At 33.8% G+C, this 17261-nt stretch overlaps 1 long non-coding RNA gene across 1 annotated transcript in view; it reads left to right on the top strand.

Annotated features, from left to right (window-relative positions):
- Positions 1–17261, top strand: part of LINC00879 (long intergenic non-protein coding RNA 879) — a 53066-nt gene that overhangs the window by 8566 nt on the left and 27239 nt on the right. The window contains exon 2 of the long non-coding RNA NR_015400.2: positions 16071–16268. This is a non-coding gene — a long non-coding RNA (long intergenic non-protein coding RNA 879). The remainder of the gene's footprint in view (positions 1–16070; positions 16269–17261) is intronic.

Raw genomic sequence — 17261 nt, forward strand, 5'->3', positions numbered from 1 at the left:
TCCCTCAAGGAGCTCAACTGGCTTAGCAGGCAGTGGCAGCCGGTGCTGGTCACCCCTCCCCCCTGGAGTTCCTTAGTCTTCAGCAGATTCCAGCTGAGAGGCTGTTGAGAATCTGTGCATTCCAGGGTTGGGACACTAGGCTCCGGTGGCACGGGTTTGCGAGTGGGATCTTCTGATCTGTGGGTTGCACAGTTCCGTGGAGAAAGCATGGTTTCCCCGGCTGGGTAGCACACTCACTTACTGCCTCCCTTAGCTAGGGAGAGGGGTGTCGCTTGCTCAGTGTGGGTCTCAGGTGGGCTACCACACTACACTGTTCTTCCTTCCTCTCATGGCTCATGCCAACCTCTTAGTCAGTTTTGATGAGAGAACCTGAATACCTTGGTTGCTGGTGAAAGATTCACACAATGATCACAAGGTCCCACAATAGGCCGTCTGCAAGCTGAGGAACAAGGAAACCAGTTGTGACTCAAAGCTGACAAACTTGAAGTCCTATGTTCAATGGCATCCAGCACAGAAGAAAGATGAAGGCTGGGAGCCTGAGCCAGTCTTGAACACCCATATCTTAACAATCTTTTTAAGTTTCAGGAACTTGAAATATTATCATTATCACCTATGATGTGATATATAATAAATATTCTATCAGTGTTAGTGGAAGGCAAGGCCTAAGGAGGTTGAAATGTATATAATCATTTTCTCAGCCATTCTTGTTGCCAGAGTTTGGGCATGTGATTTGAGCTACATCTATCAGATGCACTGCCCTAGACTTTGAATTAAGAGTAAAAGGTTAAACCATTTGGGGACAATAAGTATCTCTTTCTCTTGTTCAGGCTAATTGCAGCAAGATGGACTCTGAGGTGGCATGTGCTTCATGCCAATTACTGATCTAGTGCTATTAGTGTCAGTAGAACCACATCTAGATTACAGTGGAGATGGTCATGGTTTTCTCACCTGTTTTGAGCAGTGATTTGGGACATTGTTACTGACACTGAAAACTCAATTAGCGGAAGTTAGTTTCTTTTATTTCAACTAAGGGCCCTTAGAGTCAACTCAAATTGGTACCAAAACCCTTTCAGATTTTCAGAAAATCTTCATTAGTTACCTGGATTAAAGGCAAGAGAAATAAAAAGTACTATACAGGAATGAGATTCTATTAGCTTGTAGTAAGCTATAGACAGATTAAACCAAACATTTTCCAGAAGTGTGTAACAAAGGGGGCAGGCTTAAGTGAACCATAGGTTTAATCAAGATAATGATGGCCACAGACTCTAATAAGGGTAAAAAGAGAATAAAGAGGTGGTAGGTTTAGTGGATTGTAACTTCAGATTAGTTTGAAGTCCATTGGACTAAGTGTTTTAGAAAAAGTTGTTTGAAAAGAGTGGGTTTTATTTAAAGAATTGATTATTTTAACAACAACAAAAAATTAGCCAGGCGTGGTGGTGCACACCTGTAGGCCCAGCTACTCAGGAGGTTGAGACAGGAGAACTGCTTGAACCTGGGAGGCAGAGGTTGCAGTGAGCCAAGATCCCAGTGCTACACTCCAGCCTGGGCAACAGAGTGAGACTTCTTCTAAAAATAAATTAAAAAAAAGAAAAAACAGAATTGACTATTTTAATTTCAGATGTTGGTATGTGTACAGTTCTCCTCTGCTGATACTTGCTCTATTCATACCACACATTTTAATTTTACATAGGCTGTAAGTCTATTAATTATTGTCTTTTTTTAAGCACAATTATCTTTTAAATATATTTAAATAATGTGATAAAAGATTATTATACTTACGCACTTACCATTTCTGCTATTTCTTGCATTTTTGTGGGGATTCACAGTGACATCTGGCATCATTTTTCTTGCTGAAGGACTAATTTTGACATTTCTTTCTCTTAGTCAGGCTAAGGAGTTGGCTGAGATGATGTGGTCTGACAAGCAAAATTGACTTTCTTGTAGTACAGATCTGCTGTATTGCTTCAGCTTTCCTACTTCTGACTTTGTAAGATTTGTTTCAGCTTTTGCATGACTGAGAATGTCTTGATTTGGTCTTTGTATTTGAAAAATATTCCTTTTTTCTTTTATTACTTTAAATAAATTGCTTCACAATTTTCTCACTTGAATTGTTTCAAGTGAGAAATCTGCTGTCCAGTTTAATCTGTACATGATGTGTCTTTTTCCTCTGGCTATTTTTAAGACGTTATCACTGGTTTTAAGCCGTTTAACTAAGGTGTTGTGTTGTGTTTCCATGCTTGACTTTGAACTTCTTGGATCTGTGGGTTCATTTATTTTCCATTTTTTTACAACATCAAAAAATTGTTTTTATTAGTTATTAACATAAGAAAATAAATTAACATTCAGCTATTCATTTTAAAACTTTAATTTAAAGATATAACTTTTTTCTGTGTTTCCAAAGCAATAGTTTTTGAATATTTGTGTATGTGGGGTGTGTGTGTGTGTGTGTGTGTGTGTGTGTGTGTGTGTAATTTAGTGAGTCTTGACTGCTGGATCATCTCAGTATCTCTCATTCACCAGGTAAATGATTTCAGTATCTCAGTATCATTCATAGGCTATAACTAACTTCTTTATCTGGAAGTTATTTACTTAAACTGGCTCTGCTATAATATAAAACACTTATTTAGTTGCATATTTAGCTCTGGCTATATGGAAAGTACTTTGTTTTTGGAGAACTAGAGGTTCTCCTTAGTTAGCATAAATGTGTAAAGCAATATTGTGTCCACAGTATATTGCTCCTGTGGCTTTTCCTAATTTTTTGGTCTTCCTACTATCTTAAAATGCAGTAATAGCATGTGCATTGTCTAACACTATTTGTACAATATTGGGAAATGTAATCTTAAAATAGATAGAGAAGTCCTAATAGAAATACTGTGAATATGCCCTAAGAAGTCACATAGATTTAGTAAGAGACAGTTTTCTTCTTCAATCAATTAAGATTCTATTCCCCTAAAGTAAATCTATAGATTCAATTTAAAAAGGGTATAGTATTCTTCTCTATAGTTCTCACCCTCCACTAATATTTCTCAGGATCTCTTCCTGCTGTAGGTAATGAACATTTATTCTAGAGCCTGTCATAACATTAATCAACATACCTACCTTCTAGTGCTATTAAAAATTTGCATCTTTTTACTTGCATTTTTTTAATGTGAAGTCAGGTGCTGTGATGGTTAAATTGTGTGTCTAACCTGACTTAACAATGGGTGTCCAGATACTTAGTCAAGCGTTATTCTGGGTGTTTCTGCGAGGGTGTTTTTTGATGAGTTAAGATTTAAACTGACAGACTGAATAAAACAGATTACCCTCCATAACATGAGTGGGCCACATTCAATCAGTTGAAGGTTTGAATAGAACAAAAAGCCTGGCCCTTCATTATAGGAGAAAAATTCCTCCTGCCTGAATGCTTTTGTGCTGGAACGTTAGTTTTTCCTTGCCTCTGGACTTGAAATGAGACATTCACTCTTCATGCATCTCACTCCTGCCAACAGCAGATCTTGGGATTTGTCTGCCTCCAAAATCATGTAAACCAATTCCCCATAAGTCTCTTTGTGTGTGTATACACACACACACACACACACACACACACACACACACATCCTGTTGCTTATCTTGTTTTCTGGAGAACTCTAATACAAGCATGGGCTTAAGCAAAAATCTTACAGAATGAAATTTTGATTTTTCAGCAACATTCAACAACTTAGATAAATGGCAAATTTCCTAACTTCATTTGAAGAACTGGCAGCAAAACCTATTAATGTTACCTTGAAAAGATAAAAAAAGTAAAACAATCTAGTAATGAGAGAATAATTCTTAGGAAAAAATATGTAGCACGAGCAGCAAGAAATATGCTAGTTCTGTCCATTGAACATTCAAATATGGTGACATTGGCAGCTTTGATAAAATATAAAATGACTAGGGAACTTAGTTCCACCCCAAAAGACAGGCAAGAGAAATACCTGCTGTTTCTCTTGGCACAGTTAATAGTAAAAAGTATCTGCCAATAAAAGCTTGGAAGTATCTCTAAGCATCAGAATTCTACCAAAATTTATTTTCATATAATTTTGATTTTGTTTAAACAAAGTAGGAGGAAATATTAAAAGACATTGTTTTACAATGATAAAGGGTTATCGAAGAACGAATTCCTTTTTTTTTGAGGAGTTTTAGTATGAGTTGTCTCAAGTGCATCAGTATTCCCAGACTAAATAATAACTATTTGATGTGCATGCACATTATGGAGCAGTGATAAATGTGCGCTACTCTCTTCTTTCCGAAAACAGCAGCATTCCCTCCATTCTGATGCTTACACTTACTCTCAAAGCCAACATGTGTATTATTCATTGTAAAGATATGGTTATATTCTAACGGCAATCACATTTTTTAAACTACACGTCATATCATTGTTCATGGATAGTGGTGGTCATGTTTGAATTGTTAAAATTTTAATGGTTTTATTCTATTTATCTGCATAGATCCTACCTTACTGACCAATTTACACTGAGTTGTTTAGTCTATTCTGCTTTCTTTTTTGAGGGAAAAATAATGCATTACTATACAAAAAAAAATAACATGATCCAAGTGGCCTACCTTTCTAGAACATTTGTGAAAAAATATTAATTAATATTCATTTATTAAATCAAATCAGTGGAGATGTTTTTCTATTAAGAATTTATTCTTAGTCTTTGTGGAATAAAAAAATGCTCTTTTAATGTCTTTTCTTGTATACACCTGGAATGTTTTATCTGCTTCTGAGCTCCCACTGGGAACATCACATGTGTCTCCTTGTCTCTCTCTCTCTCTTTTCTTTTAATTCCAGATAAAACTTCTCTGCTTTCATGAAGGTCTCTTAAGTAAAAATGATAATAGTTCTAATCTCTTGAGGACCTACTAATAGAATGAAACAATACTGTATCATATTGTCATTAATCCTATAAACAATTCTTCCATCTTGTCATTATTATTCTCATATTCAAATGAGAAAATTAAGAAATAAAGCTGTTAAATATCTTATCAAAATTCATAAAACATGATTTATATTTATTTGTATTTTGGTGTTAATCCTTTCTAGCTCCTAGTACATTTTTTGACTACATGTTCTCTTTCATTTAGTAAGCTGTGAGCTTCCTTAACATGTAAAATATGTCTTATTCATATTTCTATCACTATCATGCCTTCTTTATGACCTGAAATTCAGTATGTGGTTACACACGCATTGAATAAAAGTGAAATAACATAAAATATATTTATGAGTCTGATTTTCTCTTTTTTAAAGTCTGAGTGACTTTGTCACAGCAAATACTTGTTAAAATATTTCATACACATTAAATTAACATAAATTATGTGTATTATTCCTATTTAATAATGTGTGAATTTTAGTTTTTGAATTTAAGAATTAACTGGTAAGACAAAAACAATCATTGTTAGATAAGACTGACAAAAAAAAAAACAAGACAATTAAGGTCCCATTCTTCCAAGTGGAAGGCAGTTGAAACTGGGCTCTTTAAAAAAATTTGAGCAAGGCTTACAGAGAAACTGTGTGATTATGATATTACAAGGTCCTCAAAAACTGTTTGGAGAAGAAATAATATTAAGAGTCTTTTTTTTCTTTAACAGTACTGAGTTGGGAGATACATATTTCTTATGTCCTACTGAAAAATAAAACACACCTCAGGGAAAAAATTCAGATTAACACTCTCTTACTCTTTCTGATAGTCTGGGTCCATCTTTCCTAAAATTCTAGGGCTGATGTTCAGTTTTCTCTAAATATAACTGCAATGCCCTAAAGCCACTGCAAATGGAGTTTTCCAGTTTTATAATAATAGTGTAAGAAAGTATGATAAGAGTATAGAAACAGTGTCCCTATATTTATTTCTAAACAAATTAAATGAACAAATCATAACTGGACTTTTTATTTTCTATATATTATATTTTGCTTTTTAAAGTAGAAACTTTACTTTTCAACTGCTTTTCTGTTAGCTTTGATGTTCTCTGATACTCTCATTTTGCTATGGACAAATAGGAATTATAAAGGATGTTCAGTCACTGATTTCAAGTAATAGCCAATTTTTTGGAAGAAAAGGGACATATATTTAAAAAATTTTCTACACATATAAAATAAAAACACACCTCAGGGGAAAAATATATATACATATATATTCTCCAGAAACCTTATATAATTTACAGTGATGCAAATTGGCATATATTGTAATGATTATGAGTGATATATGATTAATATCTATAAAGCTCAAAAATTCAGGAGTATTCAGGGGTCTTTTTTATTTTGTAAGTTGTCAGGGTTTACCAAGTATTAAGAAATGTGTCTAATTTTGAGCAGTTTTGCTTCCTGCAGTAAAATGTGTGTGTGTATGTGTGTGTCTCCTATCATAGCACGGATGATTTTTATGTGACTCTATTGGAATCCTATAATTGTTGAAATGAAGAAAACACATGCTTTATGGCCTGGCTGCTTTTGTATAGTAAAACTTAACCATTGAATCAATCTTAATTTATGAAATTATACTTGGAATTTTGTCTCAAGTAAGCTAGAGATCCACAAGTCTTGTGTGTATGATAAGCAACCTGGCAAATGCAAATGCCTGGAATCTATGCTCAGAGTTCTGACATTTTGGCCATGTATTTGGCCTAGACATCTGCATTTTAGTTTTCTGTCCATGCAAGAAATCCTGACGTAGGTGGCTAGTAGAGAACTTCCTGAGCAGCACTACCCTATGCCGTCAGATGAGAGCAGGGTTCTGGCTATCTTACCTACTGCCATATCTACAGCAACTTGCACAGTTTTTTTTTTTTTTTTTTAATGGAAAGAATGAGATTGTCTTAAGAGAAGCTTAGTTCATTAAGTAGGTGTTTATTTAGTAATTTAAAAATGCCCTTTATTTATGGAATTTGAATATTTATACTGGGATTATGGATTCAATTTTGGGAATGCGGCAATAAAACAAGATTTCTACCTATCAGGAAATATATGAGAAATTGTTAATACAATTTGAACATTAAAATAGGCATGGGCATGAAACAGAAGGAAATCATGTCCTTTGCAGCAACATGTCTGCAGCTGGAGGCCACTATCCTAAGCAAATTAATGTAGAAACAAAAATCCAAAAATCACATATTCTGACTTATAGATGGGAACTAAACATTAGGTACTCATGGACATAAAAGTGGCAACGATAGATACTGGGGGATATGGAGGTGAGAGAGAGGGAGGGGGAAGGGTTGAAAAACTAATGTTGGGCACTATGCTTAATACCTGGGTGACGTGATCATTTGGGCAGGCTTTAGCATCACACAATATATCCATGTTACAAACCTGAACATGTACCCCTTGAATCTAAAATAAAAGTTGAAATTATTTAAAACATGTAAAACATTTTTTAAAGTGATTGAACTATATTCAGAACTCGACAGATTTGAAGAGATAAAACCTATACTAAATTTCACAATATCATTGGGGCCCCTGGATTGATATATAACAAATAATTTAATAGTGTATAAATCCCTACTGTTCCAATTTATCCCATCCTTATCCCATCCTTATAAGGAATAATGTATTGAATAAAGATTGTATCAGTATTTGTAATTCAATAAACCAGAACTTGTGGAAATAAATATGTAGGAGACATAAATATGGTGTCCTCAAATTGAATTATGTGGGAAAAAAGTGGGGTGGAGTTAAAGTCCAAGCCAATAAAGTTTGTAACATTAAAGAAAGACAGGTATGGGATGCAAGGTGCAAAGAAAAGGTCATCATATCTCATACTGGGGTGAGATAGAAGACTTCCTGAAGTAGGCGATGCCTATATTGAATCTATAAGGACAAACTGGCATCAATATGTCAGGGAAGACAGGTTGAAGGTGGTCCTGCCAGAGAAAGGAGCAAGGATAAAGGCAAGGAAGCATGTAACGTCATTGTTTGTGGAGAAACCTCAAATCGGCTGAGGAAAAACGACTCAGGTATGTAGTAGGGCACAGTATGAGGAGGAATATGGCAGGAGATACAACTAAACAGAGACGCAGAGACTAGATCAATGTGAGGAAGGACAAGTTACAATTCTAACTTGATGTTTACTCTGTATATGATAGGGTCACACAAACTGTGGAAAATCTATTGTGTTCACATCAAAATTATAGCTCTGGCAAAGGAGGAGATACATAGATACATACAGAAGCTGACCGGATGAACACTCATTTTCTTTACTTGGGTCACCTCCCAAGGGAAGAAAAGAGGCGGTTTACCAGGTCTAATAACTGTGTCATCTGGACTCTAGGTTGAAAGACAAGTGATATTTGCTAGGAAGAAGAAACTTTATCTTTGAAGTGCCTTTAGCAGAATGTCCTTGGTTAAGGATTGCCTATAGTAAAGAGTATCTATGGATTTATGAACCATGGCTCCCTGGAGTAGTTAGTGCAAGCTGTACAACACCTTGTTGTACAAAACAGAAATGTTTGAAAACTCACATACTCTTTCTGCTGTTAGCTCTCTTGGAGACCTCATCTATTACTCTGTAGAGAAGGACACATTTCTGTTGTGGGAAAACAGGACATAGGGAGCTGCTCTTGATGTTCCAGGCCCCTCTCTGCTTCATCTGAGCCTATTGACTGATGATGGCACCCTTCAAATTATTAGTAAAGCTTGATATTAAGCAAGATATTTGATTTGTATTAGTCTGATTTGACAGTTCAATTATTAACGTCGTCCCATGTACTGGGTAGCCAATTTAGTATAGAATAATGCAATTATTGTTTTAAGCAGGAAAAGTGCAGAAATATACTTAGAAAAATAAATGTTTATTTGTGCTATACTGAAATTTTCCTGGTCCTCAAAAAAGGAAGAGGGGATAAGGGTAATATTTACTTTTTATCATCATAAAAATGGGAAAAACTAAGAATATTTGGTGGATGAGACAAAGAAGCAAAGACAAAACCATTTATGATCTGTTTCTGATTACTGATGATACATTTCCTTCCATAATTAAGTGAAAACTAGAAATGTCATATTTAAAGAGAAGTAAATATTAAATAGGAATTATAGCTGAGTTCATCTGAGAAGCAGTCCTGAGGAAAAACTCAAAGGTTGAAATGAAGGGTGGGGTAACAAAGAATGAAATTGCTTTTACAGTGGAAAATCACTTTCTTGGCGTTAATAAATAAAACTTAGAATACTGAGTTAATTCCTGCATACTTGTATCTCTTACAAAACTGGTTAGCTATTACAAATAAGCTACATAAGTTATTCATCCATATCCCTTCACATATTCTATATATTGGACTGCTTTATAGAGAGAATTACAAAATTGGGATAAAATTAGGCTCATTCTATTGGTATAGTGACTTTTTGCAAGCCAGCTTTTCTGCTTGGCAGTTATGGCTGCTTGCTTCATTGATTGCCCTCGCTGACACTTGCTGCTTCCAAAGGGGACAGGATATGTCCAAATGGGGGTAAACAGAAAGTACCTTGTTTGGTACTATGTTTAAAATGCAATTAAGTAAAAAGAAGAAATAATGCTACTAATGCTTTTGCCCCGGGATCTTATAACACCACAGAAAATATAGCTTAATGCAGGAAAAGCCTCTTCAGAGGCTAAGTCATGAAGTCATTTTGGCAGGAAGAAAAAAAAAGGAAAAAATAAATAAAGCAAAGAAGAACTCATAGATTGATATTGTGTAAATCCGGAGAGTTAACATCAAGATCTTAAAAATCAATTCTCTGCTTTATTGAGACCTAGTGGAATTATCTAAATACAGAGGAGGTAATGTGATGGAAAGTCCCCGTTCCTGGCAAGATGAGAGGCATTCAAGTCTGCTGTAACTACAAGTAAATCACAGGAAAAGAAAAACTGAATCAGTAAATAAAATGAAAGAAAAAAGCAGAGCAAAAAGGAAAGATTCCAAACATTTTGGACTTTTTCTACAGACACATGATAGCAATAGTATAACATAAAGCTTAAATATACGGTGCAATTAAATAAAATCAAAGGCAAGACCTGTTAAAGTTAACCACCAATACTTTGTGCTGGAAAAGGCAGGTAAATGGAGCTCCAGTTGTACAAATATATCAATGCCTACAAAATATATCAAATGTTACACTTATTTGTACATGGAGACATCTATTTACGAAAAAAATGAATCAAGCATCAGATGTTGTGTGCAGCCTGGAAAACAATTAAGTTTCAAAATTCTTCTCATTTAATCTATTTGTCGGAGAGATTTACTGCTCTAAAAAGACATGTTTTTCTTTCTTTTTTTTTTTTGGCAGTATCAACCAATCAACCTGAATCTTAGACAAATTGAAAGTTTTTATCTAATCGGTTTATATACATATATGAATAGACACATATTTTAAAATAATAAATAAATGTGCTGAGGTACTATTTTTAGAAAGTAAGTTATTGAATATGTTTTTGTTTTCTAAGCATTCAGGTTTTGCACCTTTAAATAACATGACTCTTTTTTCCTCCCTATCACTTTTTCCTTTCTTTCTTTCCTCCTTTGTTTCCCCTTCCTTCCTTTCTCCCTTCCTTCTTCCTTTCCTCCCTTCCCTTCTTTCCTTCTTTCCTCCCTTCCTCCCTTGCTTTTTCTTTTTTTTCTTAAAACAGTATTACCACTAGACATTATTATTCAAAAACACCAATATTTAGTCTAATAATCTTTACTGCCAAGGAAATAAGATTCAAGAATATAAAATAAGTTCTTAAATTTTAACACAAGAAGTGACAAAGTCAAGTGTAAATAATTATATTACAGTAACTGAAATATTTATTTATTTAGTTTGGGGGTAAGAAATTCATTTTTATCATGCTTTTTCAAAACTACATCTATAGAGAAAAAAAACTATTGCTTCAAAGTCACACCTCATTTCAACCCAAATATAATATTCCTCATGGCTTTACCCTGCTAATTATACCTCCCAAACCCTCTTATGTGTTTAAATGCAAAGTATTTATTAATGATCTATAGAGGCTATTTGTCTATTTGTTGTGGTATATTTTCATAACAAATAGTTTAAGATACAGTTTTCTGCAGCTTTATCAGTGGCCTTTTCTGGACCATACTGTCTCTCTCTCCGTGTGTGTGTGTGTGTGTGTGTGTGTGTATGCACACATATGTGCACCCTCCTTTGTGTGTGTGTGTGCGCATGTATATAGGCACAAAGGCATATATATGGAGGAATATATATGTATATATATGTGTGTATATATACATACATTCTATACCTTTTAACTTCATTTTCTTTGTAAATGCAGAGTTAAATAATTTCATTGTTTTTGTTTGTTTGTTTGTTTTGAGGTGGGGTTTTGCTCTTGTAGCCCAGGCTGAAGGGCCGTGGCACTATCTCGGCTCAATGCAAACTCTGCCTCCTGGATTCAAGTGATTCTCCTGCTTCAGCCTCCCAAGTAGCTGGGATTACAGGTGCCTGCCACTATGCCCAGCTAACTTTTGTATTTTTAGTGGAGCTGGGGTTTCACCATGTTGGCCAGGCTGGTCTCAAATTCCTGACATCAGGTGATCCATCTGCGTTGGCCTCCCGAAGTGCTTGCATTAAAGGCATGAGGCACTGCACCTGGCCCATTGTTTTGATTTTATTGGTATGAATGCAAACTTCAATTTTTCAAAACCATTTCAATCTTCTAAAAACTTTCACTGAAAGGTTAAATTTCAGTCCTTCATATCTTAATTCACCAAGTGCAATCAATATTCTTGTTCTGAAGTAATAGAGACGGTATCTGAAATGAGAAAAATTAAGAAAACAAGCTGCCTCATTATGAGGAACTTGGAATTCTAGAGGTGAGTGGATAAAATAAATAGTCATGTTTTGAATTGCATATAACCCCCCCACACACACACACACCATTGGTTTGAGATTTAGATGTTGGTTTTCTATAATTAAAATACAGAAAGTCTAGTCTTATTGTTGGATGAATAAAATACTCTCCCTGATTCCTGATTATCCTGCACAATTAGAGCTACTGCTTATGGAGAGACATTTGACAAAATGGGTAGACGAGAGTAGGTAGAGAATGTTTAGTCCTATTTTTTCAATAGTAGTCTCTGGTATTATCTTTAAATAGTACTCTCTGGTATTAATATGCATTGTTAATAGAATTAATACTATTATGCAACACCATAAAATGTATACAGATATTATTTTATAGCCCCATCATGTTTAGATGTTTATTTGCCACAACTATTTTGTTGCACCCTTGTTATCATAATTTTCATTACATAGTAAATTACTTAAAATTAGTTTATCTTTTAAAAACTAACTGGACCACATAATTTAAAGGACACAGAACATTCTATTATGATTTCTAAGTTAAAATAAAGATTTGAAAAAAAACTCAGATGTGATCTTGAAGTAAGGACAAATACATTGACTGGGACATTCTATGTAAATATTATGCAATTGATTTATGGCATGAGGTTGAGGGCGTGGAAGCAAACTTTAAATAGATGCAATCAAATAAAAGGACAACACTCAATTAATTCCTGCCTTCTACATTTTGCCACACAGTGCTTCAATTCCTTCACTAATATCTGCAGCTGGTTTGTTTCGGATCATAATGACCATCATGACTGTTGATTGTTTTTGGTGAAAAATTACTTTCTATTGATTTGTTTAAATATGACCTTTTATCTTTCTAACCAATATGAAAAACTAATCTTTATATTTTTGTAATTTGCAGTAGCCCTAAACAGAATCAAAGGACAAATATACTGCTCAGCTTATTTCAGATCTAATAACAATAACAAGAAGATTTTTAACACCTTAGGACAATTGTTTCTTTCTTTTCTTTTTTTTTTTTTTTTTTTGAGACAGAGTTTCACTCTTTGTTGCCCAGGCTGGAGTGCAATGGCGTGATCTCAGCTCACTGTAACCTCTGCCTCCCAGGTTCAAGTGATTCACTGCCTCAGCCTCCCGAGTAGCTGGGATTACAGGTGCCTGCCACCACGCCCAGCTAATTCTTTGTATTTTTTTGTAGAGACAGTGTTTCTCCACATTGGCCAGGCTGGTCTTGAACTCCTGACCTTAGGTGATCCACCCGCTTCAGCCTCCTAAAGTTCTGGGGTTACAGGCATGAGCCACCGGGCGCAGCCTGTTTCATTTTATAGGGTAGTTAGCAAACCAAACTCTTGATACTCTCAAGATTCAAATAAGGTAAAGAGAATAGTCTGTAGCTTGAGGTTGGTTACCTTTTTTGCATGCTGCAGAGTGTGAGCCACCAGTCAAGATCAGGATCTTTTAAAATAGGAATTTGGAAATTCTAAAAATTATGAGAAAATCATGCACTTTTATATGGCCTACAATGTAATCAGCTTCTTCATGGCAATGATAATTTAGAAATATCTTAAATATTTGTTTGTGGTAAAAATATAATTAATTCAAGAAAAAAATGCAGCTCTCTTAGCTATTCAGTTGTAAAAGGACCTAGAGTATAAAAAGAGACAGAATTAGTAATCACTAAGATTCATTTTTCTAGACTGAACTTAGCTATGCATGTATTTACCTGTTATACTCTGAAATCATTTGCTTATAATGAACACTTAAACTCATGCACTAAGACAAATGAAGAGTGTTTTGACAAACCTACAAAAATCTGAAATAAAATATTTTAAATGAATTTAAACATAGGAAGAAAGCTTATTGTATCTTAAAACTCCTACAGTATGCTTATTGCATATTTATAAAATGAGATTTATTTTTAGGGGGTGGAAATTTAAATAAATTAAGAGAGGGAAAGAAATAAAGCAACAAATTTTCAACGTATAAAACTCTATTTTTAGTAAATGCCATTGTTAAATGCAATTTTTGGAGATTTTTTTTTCTCCTACAAATGTTAAGGCCAAGTATGGTAAAAAGTGTAATATTATAATTATAATGCTGTAAAATATTTTAACATATGCATTATAATATAAGTATTCTTTAAAGTACTCTATGTGTTAGGCATCTTTGTTTTTATTTTTCTGGTGTTTCTTCTACAGATAATTTTTTTCCAAGTATCCCAAGCATAGTTTCGATGAGGCTCCTTTTTTTTTTTTTCTTAAAATAACTGTTCCCTTAGATTATCCATTCGGGCTGCTATAATAAAATCCCACAGAATGGGTGAATTATAAACTATAGAAATTTATTTCTCACAGATCTGAGAGCTGAGAAGTCCAAGATGAAGTCTCTGGCAGATTTGATGTCTGGTAAAGACTTTCTTTCTCATAGATGGCACCTTCTTGCTCCTAATCACCACCCCAGATGCCCTGCTTCTTATACTATAACGTTGAGGGTTAGAATTTCAACATCTGAATATTTTGTGGGGTACAAACATTCAGACCATAGCACCTGTCTATACACTCTCTGGGCTCCACCTCTGTCCTACCTTGAGTCATTAAGTGATTTGCAGTGTTGCTAAAGTTTTTAATTTAATTAATTTAATTCAAGATAGTGTGAGTAATTATAATTAAAAACAAAAATTTTCCAATCTGGAAAACTCCACAGTAATAGTGGAGAAAGATAGCATCTTTACCATTGGATAAGTACAGTCATGAACTGCATATATGCCAGCGGTGCTGTAGATTGTAACACTTTATTTTTACTGTACATTTTTTACTTTTAGATATGTTTAGATACACAAATACCGTTGTGTTACAGTGGTCTATAGTAGCATGCTGTACAAGTTTGCAGCCTATGAGCAATAGGCTATACCAGATAGTTTGGGTGTATGGTAGGCCATACCATCTAGGTTTGTGTAAGTACACTCTACGATGTTTGTACAATTACAGAATTGCCTAAGGACACATTCTCAAATGTGTCGCCATCGTTGAGCAAACACAGCTCTATTAAATGAGAGTATAACGAACATCACAGGCAATCCGCTAAAAGATTGTAAATCTCACTCTTGTACATAGCCAAGCAGATATAACCCATTACATATATGTTTTCAAGATAAAAAATAGTCTTTAAGTAAGAGCACTTGATAGTACTATTTATCACATGTAGTTTATCCTAACTTTACCTGGCAATTGTGGTGACCACCTGTGTTAGCTTATTGACTTTATCTGGAGGAAAAACAGGCTTATCAGGTTTTCATGGCAGAAGGTAATTTTACAACTTAAAGCTTGGTATCCACTGACATTAGGTTTCTACCCTCCCAAGAAACTGGGAGATATGGGTGCTATCTCTCTTGATGTTTACATGTCAGAGAGATGTTTCAGGTCTTTGAGAAAGACATTATTGGGTCATAAAGTTGACAAAAGGCCAATCTAGTCTTCGAAAGGATTTATATACATTTCAAAAAACAGAAAGTGTGTACTTATAAGTTTTAAAGTAAATGCCCAAAGAAAAAGGGAGAAAGGAAAATCTTTTCCCTTATTTTCAACAGAGAATTAAGCCCCTAGTTTTAAATTTGTATTTGGTCCTTACAATAGAATAGTAGAATCTATGTGTTTGACTTTTCTTAAAAACATTTTTATGATGATTTGCCAATGTTTCCTTTAAAAAGTTTGTCCTGAGGAGTCATGCTGTGCTTTCTTCAATTTTATTTTTAATTCTCTCACTTGCCTCTCTGTAGGTCAAATAGAAAATATATATATTTTAATAAGTTAAAAGTCAATTGATAAAAATGTAATTTCTGATTCAAAATTTATCCTTCTGCTTTATAATTTATTTTCATTTAATCAGTGGATGTTTGATTTTAGCATGGTGAGAAAGAAGCTAATTTAAAAACTCAAATTGAAATCTCAGCATTGCACAGTGTTTGATCAGAGTCACATTAATCACAGTTCATGTCAAATTTCTCAATGCTGTAAAGTATCATTCTGAATAATGACTTGCTCTCCAGGGTTCTTAGTTATTAAAATAGAAGTTGAGGAATGGGCTATAGCATTTCTATAATCATGGGTTTCACAGTATGCATTTTAGTAATAAAGATGAAGGAGTAAGATTTTTGATACTTTTTCAGAGTATTCTCATTCAATACACATGTATCTTGAAATTATATTTGATCAAAAGTTGTTTGACTTGGGAACTATCTTCTGTTCAGAGCTTGTTTTCTTCTAATTACAATTAGCAGTTACTGATGCTACAATATTCCTTTATGAAGCCAAGAACTGAACCAAAATACAAACAACATAAACTACCACTTGATGAGAAGAACTTCAAAGTCAAATTGCAAAAGGTGACTAAAAAAGGGGAGTACTTTCAGCCGTTTTCAAAATAATCTATGATATGTACTGGAAAACTTCTAATAATCCTTGTCATTTTACAAGTAAGTAGAGAGTAATAGAAAATTCACCCTTAATAGAAAAAATGTAATCATAGGATTAAATTTAAATCAATGACAAATTATAGTAATAAATGAACACTAGGTTGAATGTTTTGAAATCTTAGAGGTTTAAAATAGATAAATTCCTTTAAGTGAGCCAATTCTGTTTCCATTTATGAGTAGAAATTCAAAATAATGTTGATAATTTTTATATATACATTAAATATCTTTTATTCCTAGACCAAAATTCATTTATGACCTTCAGAGATCGTATAAGTGCTTTTGAGAAAAGAATTTAAATATTATGTGGTCATATGGAGAATGAAGTGCTTGTACTGTAAAAGGAAGCTATAACAATTTCCTGACTTCTGTGCTATCAAATAATATTATAAATGTATATTTATTTTTATATGCCATTTTTTGAGACAGCTTAAATAGAATACTAAGTAACAATTTATATTGTAAATCACAAATACTTTGCTATTAAGAAATAATGTATATAATACTTGAATGATTTAGTATCTTTTTTAATAATATAGGATTTTCTTAAAGCTTTGTCTCTGAATAAGACTCTTTCAAAGTATTTTTAATCATCATTATGCTGTGTAATCCTCTGCAGTACTGAAATGGAATCTCATTTCATTATAAGCATATTAGTTTCTTAGAATCACACACAAAAATCTAATTTATAACACAACTACTTAGAATTTCATGGTTGGGAAAAATATATAGGACTTGTCTATGGAGTTATTTAGATATCTAGCAAATAAAATAATTTTATAAAAAGTACTCACATTTTGAATAACAATTTGGACAATGGAAAATAAGTGAAAGAAAGCTAAAGTATTTTTAAAAATACCCTGTATACAGGTAGTTCATGCATAAAACAGAAATGTAATGGAATGATTTTGAATTTTTTGCATTAACTATTTATACCTGCATTTATCTCTTACAAATCTCTACCATAGTCAGTAAACTCTGAGTACTAGAGAAAGA

The sequence above is a fragment of the Homo sapiens genome, chromosome 3, assembly GCF_000001405.40.
Source record: "Homo sapiens chromosome 3, GRCh38.p14 Primary Assembly".
NCBI classification, from domain to species: domain Eukaryota; kingdom Metazoa; phylum Chordata; class Mammalia; order Primates; family Hominidae; genus Homo; species Homo sapiens.